The sequence below is a fragment of the Homo sapiens genome, chromosome 21 (assembly GCF_000001405.40).
Source record: "Homo sapiens chromosome 21, GRCh38.p14 Primary Assembly".
Lineage (NCBI taxonomy): Eukaryota > Metazoa > Chordata > Mammalia > Primates > Hominidae > Homo > Homo sapiens.
The window spans coordinates 37,595,782-37,606,468 of record NC_000021.9 but is presented as its reverse complement, the minus strand read 5'-3'; the positions used below and the strand labels follow the sequence as shown (position 1 = coordinate 37,606,468).

Sequence of the window (10,687 nt, the reverse complement as noted above, 5' to 3'; positions counted from 1 at the left end):
GTCTGTCGCACTTGGCACCCATCAAGCCCCACGCAACCCTGTGGAGATGCATCCAGGGAAGAGCCCCATCTCTGCTTTTCTCTGGCCACTGAGGCAACCCTCTGCATTACCCCCAAGGGATTGGCTAAAGCGACTCCCTGGTCAAAACCATACTGACACTTCTTCATCTATTCCGGTAGTTTTCAAATTAAAGAAACTATGCTCTGAAGGAAAGCTCAAGCAGAAGCTCGATATTTAACGCAGACAAAGTGGAGAGCTTGGTTGCAGCATGGGTGGAGGCTAAGAGCCCTACCCCTCAAACCCAACTGCCCCAAGACTCTTGCCACCGGAGCACAGGTTAATGCTCACTGCTATGCAGCATTCAGTCCAAACGCCTCAGCTGAGCCTCTCAGCACCAGCAGGTTCTGGGCCCTGGGCCCCTCTGCAGACCAAAACTCTCCCCTTTTAGCCTACCTTATCAAATGTCTACTTTCCCTAGACAGGGCACACCCTCTTAGGCCACTTCGGCTTTGACAATATTGTTCCTTTCTTTCTGGAATGTGAATTCAGAGCCATCCAGGGAACTCAGACATCCTTCCCTAACTCCCCTGGGGAGCCAGTAGGCTTCCAAGTATGGGTCTTCAAAGATCTGTAAACTAACGCTGCCCTGTGTGTTCACTCCTCTTGTCTGTCTTCCCCAGTACATGACAAGCTCTCTGTCAGCCAAAGGTGGTCTCACTCATCTTTGTTCTCAGCACCTTTTGTAATGCTTGGAGCTTAGTTGGTGTTCAGTACTTATTTATTGGATAGATGGATGGATGGATGGATGGATGAAGGGGTGGCTGAGTGGAGGGGTGGATGGATAGGTGGATGGGTAGATGGGTGTATGGGTGGATGGGTGGATGGGTGGATGGGTGGATGGGTGGATAGGTAGATGGGTGGATGGATATATGGATGGGTGGATGAATGCATAGGTGGATGGGCAGAAAGGTGGATGGGTGGATGAGTGGATGAATGGGTAAGTGGATGGGTAGAAGGGTAGATGAGTGGATGGGTAGAAGGGTAGATGAGTGGATGGGTGGATAGGTGGAAGGGTAGATGGGTGGATGGGTAGAAGGGTGGATGGTTGAATGGGTAGATGGGTATATGGGTGGATGGATGGGTAGATGTGTGGATAGGTGGGTGTGTGGATGGGTGGATGGGTAGATGTGTGGATGGATGGATGTGTGGATGGGTGCATGGGTAGATGGGTAAATAAGTGGATGGACAGATGGGTGGATAGGTTGATGGGTGGATGGGTAGATGGATGGATTGTTGGATGGGTAGATGGGTGGATTGTTGGATGGGTAGATGGGTAGATGGGTGGATGGATGGGTACATGGATGGATGGGTGGATGGGTGAATGGGTAAATGGGTGGATAAGTGGATGGATAGATGGGTGGATGGGTGGGAAGGTGGATGGCTAGATGTGTGGATGGCTAGATGTGTGGATGGGTAGATGGGTGGATGGGTAGATGGGTGGATGGGTAGATGGGTGGATGAGTGGATGGGTCAATGGATGGGTGGATGGGTAGATGGATGGTTGGGCGGGTGGGTGGAGGGATGGATGGATGGATAGATGAGTAGATGGGTGACTGGATGGGTGGCTGAGTGGGAGGGGTTGGATGGAATATTCAGAGTTCGCCATTCAGGTGACTACAGCAGCCACTGAAACCTTTATTATTGCTTTCACAGTTGCATTATATTGTGAAAATTTCATTCTTTGAAATTTCATTCTTTGCCAGCTGGGAATTATTGGGTGCTTTCCATCTATAGTAGAAATGTTTAATCTACCAAATTATCTCATATTTTGACAAAACACAACGCACTACTTACATCAGCTCTTACAGGTGATTTCTGTGAAATTAATTAGTATACATTAACTAAAGGAGTCCTTTTATCCAATTATTGCTTGTGGCTGTGACCCAGGTACTTATAACCAGTAGGATACATTTAACCACCTAAGGTCAGTATGTACCCCAGAAAGGCAAGCGCTTCCACATTCACCACCTAGGCAGGGCCCCTCAGGATGGACAGATGTTACACCCAATGGGACTCAAAGAGCACAGTGGAGGAACTCGGAACAGCACGTGTCTCCCACATAAAATATATGTGTATATTTTATGGCAGCTGTCCTTAGCCAGCACGAATACACACATCCTTTTATATGTTTGCTCATATAATATGATCTTTCTTCCCTTATAAATAAATATGTCACTTTGGGTCTTCCCAACAGCTGCTTGATTTACAGTTTTCCTAAATCACAGCTCCATGTTTATTTTCTCTCAAAATCCTGAAATCATCTCCAGAGAGAAGACATGTGGGCCACCTTCCATCCCCCAAGGAGGCTTGGAGCAGATCAGTCTCTGCCTCCCTGTGCTCCAGCATCAAGGAAATCCCAAAGACAAGAAAATGGGAAATGTGGCTCCCCAAACCATTGCTTTTCACTAGTACAGCGGGGTAAAGTGAGGACAGAGTAGCCTTGCCAGAGGCTATGGTCAATACATTTCAGGTCTCATTTCCAACTTCTTTCTTGTCAAGCCAGTCTCAAAAACCATTGTTTTTTCACTTTTATAGACTCAAGGTGAACAGATGACTCCTTCCCTTTGTGGACTGTATCACAGCACAACCACCCCAACTACAAACACCACCACTCATTGGCACTTTTATGTATAGGTGCAGGGCATTCTTTATACATTATCTTATTTAATCCTTATAGTCCTGCAAGATCAGTAGTATCAGTAGCTATTTTCTAGCTGAGGAAACAGAGGCTCAGAGATTTAAATATTTAGTCCGAAATTACATCACAAATGACAATTAGTATCACACAATTATAACAATGAATGGAAAGTTATACTGCTGGTTACATAGTGAACACTGTGAGATGATCTAATGTCTGGGTCCTTTTGTATTGAAAGGAAGAAATGAACACCAGCATTTACCCCATCATTAGCTACACGGTGACAGAGTCAGTAGGCTAGAGCCAGAGGGGGTATAAGAACGTTAATCAACCCCTGCCAAGGCTGGCAGGGGCACAACACTGGCTAATGATGGAGGAAACAGCTGACTGGGGGTGAGTGACCTCCTAGCAGGGTCACTCCACTAATACTAGGTCCTGCTGGGTCTCTCCCAGCTGGCCATCAAGTGGGCACCCCAGCAGCATTGCATCAGCTGGGGGGGATGGCATGTACAGGCCAGGGATTGAGCAGGTCTGAAGACCATAGAAAGTTGCATAAGTGGAGGTAGGGGTTGCAAACTCCTGGCATGCTTAGTCTCATTTCACTGCTACCCATTCCTTAATCCACTCTTAAGGCCTCATGGGAAGTTCTCTATGACCAGTTACCTGGCGAGAAAAAAAAGGGGCCCAATTTACTGGTAGCACTGCCAACCACGTATGCCCCAGCCAGCAGTGGGACGAACACTGCAGCATTACAGCCAGTGTTGAGCTGGAGCCGGCTGGGACCAGTTCACAAGAGCCAACCGAAATTCTTCCAGGAATTTTGCAGGCTGGTTGTTAAACACAACCACTATTAAAAACAAAATTATATAAACTTACAATTAAATAAATTATGTTTTAAAACAAAGATTTAAAAAAAATACTCAAAATTCATCTCTTCTTCATCGCTTTATGTATTTCACTATTATCTCTGTTCTTGAGGTCACTGACATCTATTGTATATGCCTGGTGGAAATGCTATCTAATGGAAGACAATGGCACCTCTCTTCCCAACTCTGCAGTCAGTGACGTCAAGCCAGTAGCTTGAGACTGGTGACTGTGGGAATATTTATACCACAGAAATTGGCAAATACTACAAATTACAGCTTCTATTTTTCCAGAGAGCCTGTTGTTAAACATTTCCCAAAACAAACCAGAGATGATTCTGAAAGATGGTGGAGAAGGTAAATATTTTTAGTAGACATAACTTCAAGGGTTCTCTCATTGTCTACTTTGCCTAGGGGAAGAAATAGCTAGACCAGAACATAGGCAGTGACTATTGGTTTGACTGGGCAGCCAGGGTCTTGGAAGAAGCACAGTTGGATGATTGGCGTCAATAAATTCAGAAAGAAGACCCTTAGGAATGAGCGCTGGGTGTGCGAATACCTGTGGTCCACGCAAATGCTCACCAATAAGTCTTTACTGCGGAGAAGGGTCCCGATCATTTGTATTAAGGCCCTGCTACCTATGACTGTCAATCACCAACCTCCCCAACCATCATTGTGCTTGCTTGGGAACCCAGCAACAAAGGGACCATGGTTTCAGGATGGATCCTATTCATGAGCTCAAAAATACAGACAGCTCCTTCTCCAAGGCTGACTCAGCTGCTACACCACTGAGTACTTAATTTTCCAATGCAGTAACCACGTGTGAACACTCAATTCTAGACCAATATGGCAGCTACCTGGCAACCAGTTGTTTCACTGGGACTCCATCACCCCAGCAATACATTCTCACTGGAAGAGACTCTTACTCTGATTTCGGCTTGCTTTTTCCAACACCCTCACTTATACCAACACCATCGCACATGGCCCTACTGGTCACCTTTCTTACTGTCGCAGTATCAGACATGACACTGCTTCTGAACAAGGATTCACTTTATCACATTATTGGTATCACACCAGCAGAAGAACTAAGGCAATGACCAGGTGCCTATGGAATTCACAAGCCTGACCATGTACCCATTATTCACAATCAGCTAGGCTCATGAAGAGGCCTACTGAAGACTCAGTTACACCATCAACTGGGAGGCTACACCCTGCAAGATTGAGGGCCATCTCACAGGATACAGTGTGCATGCTGAGCCAGTGACCTGTGTGATATGAGACTATTTCTCCCATTACGGGAAGACATGGGAATGGGAAGAAGGAGAGGAAGTGGAGATGGGGCATCTCAGGACTACATCTAAGACCCATTTGCAAAATGTTTGCATCTTATCCTACAACCTATAGGGTCTGCTTGTTTAGAGATCTTGGTACCCAAGGGAATAGCACTTCCAACAGAGGACATGACAATGAGTATATGCAGTTCAAAATGTAGAGTTTACTTCCCAACCAGAGTTCAAGCTTTCTTATTTGCATCCAAAATCCTTGAATGATACAGAAAAAAAGGGAAGGCATGTTTATGAATTGAGTGAATGAAGACTTAAACGGGACTTCACAAAAGTTCACCATTGAATCAGGAGAAAAGAAAAAGGGAAAGAAAATGAAAGAATGGGAGAAAAGAGAAGAAAGTGAGGGAAGAGCAGAGAGTAAGGGAAAGGAGATCTAGGGAAGAATTCCCCAGAGCAAATATATGAGCCAGACATGCATTTCAGTGGAAGCCATGCCTTGTCCAGAGTAAGCATTCAATCTATTCTAGCCAACGAATGGATGAGTGCATTTTAAAGATAAGCAGAAGTATTGAGAAATAAACACGGTGACACTTGTGTTGTGAGGACATGCGAATGATTCCCCACTGTTTGTGGGGCTGGAGATGGGAGGTCAGCCTGCATCACCAGTGCCACTACCTTCTACACTCCCCTTTGCATCTCAAGGAAGCCAGGAATTACCTTTACCAACTCTCCATCCCTGTCTGGTTCTGGGTGAGTCTGTCCATGAGAGGAACTTGTGTGAAGCCTAGAAAGAGGAGAGAAGGAGAAGCCCCTCTTGTCCCAAAACAGCTGCAAGCAGACACATGAGACTCCACGGCCATCTGGTAAACTCTTCGACATCGCCTACTTTGCTGCTGCAGTTGGAGAAAGTTGTTGCAAACTGCCCAGAGACCCTGGGAGTCACTCCAGTTTTCTGAAACCCAGATATTTCAGTGCCTCAGGAGAGACAAGTCCTGACCTTCTCTCCTCCAGCTCTCCCAGGAGATAGGCAAGCCCCTAACTCCCTAACTAAGCCCTTCAGACCTGAAATCCATTGAGTGGCTTCTTTACCCCGACCAATACAGAGGCCATCAGTTCTTGGTGCATTACAGTTCTTGGGCATTTTAGTGCCTAAAATTCACCAACTCCAGGGACTGACTGCTAAGAAACCCTGGAGCTTTCTGTTTCCTTATTCCCAATGTTATGAGAGGAAATAAAGCAGAGAAAGGAAGCTGGAGGGGAAAGGGTGCCATCTTGAAGTAGGGTGGTGGTGGCAGGCAAAACAAGGGGCCCCTGCATGTAGATTCACTTCCTAATCTTCAGAACCTGTGACTGTTATCTTATATGGCAAAAGAAGTGATAAGGTAGAGATTCTTGAGAGAAGGAGCTTATCCTGTGTTATCCAGGTGGGCCCTAAGTGCCATCACATGTAGCTTATAAGAGAGAGGCAGATCCAGAACACACACAGAGGAGAAGGAGGCAGAGATCAGAGTGATGTGGCCGCAACCCAGGAAGGCCACAGGCCACCAGAACTGGAAGAAACAAGGAAGGGAATTCCCCCCGATGCCTCCAGAGGGAGAGGGGCTCAGTTAACACTTTGATTTCAGCCCAGTAGTACTGATTTCAGACTTCTGGCCTCCAGAACCATGAGAGAATACGTTTCTGTTGTTTAAGCCACCCAGTGCGGTGCACAGTTGACCCTTGAAGAACGCAGGACCCCTACACAGTCAAAAATTCACATATAAGTTTTGACTCCCTAAAAATTTGACTAATAGCCTGGAAGTTATTAGTAGTATAATTGACTGGAAGCCCATAACATAAACGGTTAACACACATTTCATATATGCATTACAGACTGTATTCTTACAGTAAAGTAAACTAGAAAAAAAGAAAACATTGTTAAGAAAATCATAAGGAAGAGAAAGTACATGGACAGTGCTATGCCCTATTATCAATACCATAAGTTTATGTCATCTGTTTACAAGCTGGATCATCTGTCTGAAATGGCAGCAACCACAGCGGCAGGCCTCAATCCGAGTTCTGTAGCAAGTCAACTTTTCCTTGGCATGTCATGACTTTTGTCTGCTTCTTGGGAGCACTTCCAGCACCACTAGTGGAACTTCGCATGGGTCCCATGATGTTATTCAATGTTTACAATATTGCACCAGACACGACATAAAATACACAGGACACTCGAGAGATCACTTTTTCCTGCGATGCACGATCTCCTGGAGAAATGAACTGCTCACACAGACAGGATGAGCATCACATGGCATTTTAAGCAGATCCTCACAACACTTGGGCTCACCACAATCACAACAGGAGGTGGCTCTGAAATTAGTGCAGTGGTACAGTGTGTATGCAGTTGTGATTAAATAGCACACCTTTACGTTCGCTTACATTTCTCTCTACTGAATGGCTCCCTATATGGTCTATAAGTGTTTGTGTGCATAAGCTTTGATAAACTTTAACCTTTTATAATAGATTTGTGTATATTTTATGGCAGTAAAGGTTAAAATAGACTAGTATCTGCATATGTTTTATGCATTCATGACATACCTTTTTCTTAATTTTTCAATATTTCTATGCTATGCTGTTCATCTGCAAGTTTTTTCAAATTGTTGCAAATCTCCAAAATTTTTAAATATATTTGTATTGAAAAAATATGTGTATAAGTGAATCCATGCAGTTCAAACCCATGTTGTTCAAGTGTCAACTGTATTTATGACACAACAGCCATAAGGCAAGTGTGACTGGGACGGTGACATTTTCTGAACCAGAAAATGGAAGTGTGCAGAGGAGAGACATGAACAGAAGGGAGGACTGGAAAAAAACAGAAAGAAATTAGTTCAAGAAAGAGGTGAGTGAGAAGGGCTTGGACTCAGGAGATGGTGGACGTTCTTAATATCCGTGGAAGGCAGAGAGGCAGCTGGATTGTGTGAGAGTAGGGAGATGAAAAGGGACATCAGAGACAATGCCCAGGTGTTCAGAATGGTGTTTCCATTTGCTGGGGAAGGAGCAGGCTTGCCAAGGAGCTGCCAAACTTCCACACACGATTCTGCAGCCCTCAAGCAGACCAACGTGTGAGTGTTCCTTTGGAATCAGTGTTTGACCAGCCCAGGAAGCTGGACGCGAAGGGAGGTTCAGGGGCAAGCCACGTGGCCCTTGGGGTGATCAAGGGGTGAGGAGCTACCCCAAGAACCTCACTAAGATGCCCACAGCTTTATCATCCCTGCTGGTCACACTGTCCCCTTAACACTGACCACAGGTTCCTCACACAGAAGCCATGAATGAATACGAGGAACGGGCCGACCACACACTGTTTGAAAAATGTGCCCATGCAGGCATGAAATCAGACAGAATCAAATCTCAATCAGTCATAGAAATGATGATGAACTTCCCAGCTCATCCCACTGCTGCTGGAGAGTTGGTGATAACATCGTAACGCACACGTCCAGAACAAGAAAGAAACAGAAGGAAGTTTCAAATTAGCTCCCCATAAGTAGCTTTGATTAAACTATTGATATGGTTTGGCTGTGTCCCCACCCAAATCTCATCTTGAATCTTAACTCCCATAATCCCCACGTGTCGTGGGAGGGACCCAGTGGGAGGTAATTGAATTATGGGGGTAGTTTTTCCCTTATCATTCTCACGATAGTGAATACGTCTCATGAGATCTGATGGTTTTATAAAGGGAAGCTCCCCTCCACATGCTCTCTTGCCTGCTATGTAAGATATAACTTTGCTCCTCCTTCACCTTCCGCCATGATTGCGAGGCCTCCCCAGCCACGTGGAACTGTGAGCCCATTAAACCTCTTTTTTTAAAATAAATTACCCAGTCTCAGGTACGTCTTTATTTGCAGCGTGAGGGTGGAGTAATACAACTATTGATTAAAACATTTGTGAATTGTCTTTACATTAAGTTTATCCACTCCCTTTTAATTCCCTATTATTAAAGAAATCTGAGGTTTTATTTTATAAACGTGCAGTGCCCTCCTGAGCCCAGGACAAAACCCACAAGCCCCAGGATAAGATGAGCCTCCTCCTGAGGAAAAGTCCTTGGGGCTGCGTCTCACACCATAAGGCACAGGCTGCTGGGCAGAGGAGGCACCACGTTGTGGGGGATCTTCAGCCATTCCTTCTTGCCCAGTAACAAAAACTGGCTTCAGTGAGTCAGGAGGTGTTTAAAATGCTTGTTTCCCGGTGCCGTAAAGAAATAGCACTTGAGCCGGGCGTGGTGGCTCACGCCTATAATCCCAGCACTCTGGAAGGCCGAGGTGGGCGGATCACGAGGTCAGGAGATCCAGACCATCCTGGCTAACACGGTGAAACCCCGTCTCTACTAAAAATACAAAAAAATTAGCCGGGCGTGGCGGCATGTGCCTGTAGTCCCAGCTACTTGGGAGGCTGAGGCAGAGAATTGCTTGAACTCAGAAGGCGGAGGTTGCAGTGAGCCGGGATCGCACCGCTGCACTCCAGCCTAGTCGACAGAGCAAGACTCTGTCTCAAAAAAAAAAAAGAAAGAAAGAAAGAAATAGCACTTGAACATAAATTTAATTTTTTTAGCAAGGCCATTTTTATACTTTCTGCAGAAAGGGTACACTCGCCAGCAGTTTTGCCACGACAATACACCAAACAAAGGAGACGGGATCATTTATAACCTGACGCGTCCACCCTACTGCTGTGTCCGGTTTCCACTGGCTGGAAGGGAACCTCACATTCTGTATTTGTCTCGATTGGCTAGCAACTTAGAACTTTTTAAAACAGGCAAAGGCAGAGGAGAACAGAGGAAGGAGGAAGTAACTTTGCGGAATGCTGAGAAAGGTAAAACCACCTTCAAATAAGGAAGAGGAACAGGCTATGACCTAATGCTTGCTTGGACCAGTATAAGCATGCCAGGGCAAATATTTAGGCTAAATTGTGGGAGCTAAGAACATAAAGTATATTGATTTCTTTATTACGGCTAGCAGATATTTAAGAATGTTAGTGCAGGTCTTTGAATAAATTTTGCTTTTAAGAGAAGTTACTATTTATTCCTAATTAAATGGGGAGAAAATCTTTGAAGAGGAACCTCTACTTTACTTTTTACAGGAGGGCTCAGGGCTACTGCCAAGGATAACAAAGACGAAGGGAAAAAGATCAGGGCTTAGTCCCTAAACATGACTCCCTGTTCCTCGAGGGAGAGGGGTCTCAACAAGTGGTGCCTCAAAGCCCCTAAGCAAATCTCACCTGTATTTATCCACCTGGATTCAGGAGGTGCTCATGTCATGACCCAGCTATGATACCTTGATGGCCATATTGCTTCCATCGCTAAGACTCCCCAGAGGAGCATCCAGAGAGGTACCAGCTAAGGGAGGCTCTTGGTGGAGCAGCCACCATCTGGGTTGCACTCCCCACTCTGAGTGACCCATGGAAACCCGCCTGCCCCTCCCAGGGATGTGCAGGGATTTCTTGGGACGTGCCACTACACCGTCAGTTGCTGAGGGCCCAGGTCACCTGTTTGCTCCTCCTGTCTCAGCAGGCCTGTGGACACGTAATCGGGATGCATTTGCTAAGTGGGGAGATGAACGTTGAGCTTCCCAGCAAGCGGACAGTGAGTTGCTCTTGCTCAGTCCCCTCTCACACCCAGAGGCAGTGAGATGGGGGCCTCCACCAGGCTGCACAGGAAGCCAGAGTCCTCACTGGGCCCTGCCAGATGCCCCTCTCTTTGCCTGGGAGAGCCGCTGAAATCCCCATCCACCAGGCTATTGGGCAGCTCATCTTACAACCTCATCCGCATCCCAGCCTTGTCTTGGCTGGATGCTCCGGTGATGTGGTTGCTC

General features: G+C 46.1%; 1 long non-coding RNA gene across 1 annotated transcript in view; it reads right to left on the bottom strand.

Moving 5' to 3' along the window:
• Window positions 1–10,687, bottom strand: part of KCNJ6-AS1 (KCNJ6 antisense RNA 1) — a 222,067-nt gene that overhangs the window by 134,234 nt on the left and 77,146 nt on the right. The window lies entirely within an intron of this gene.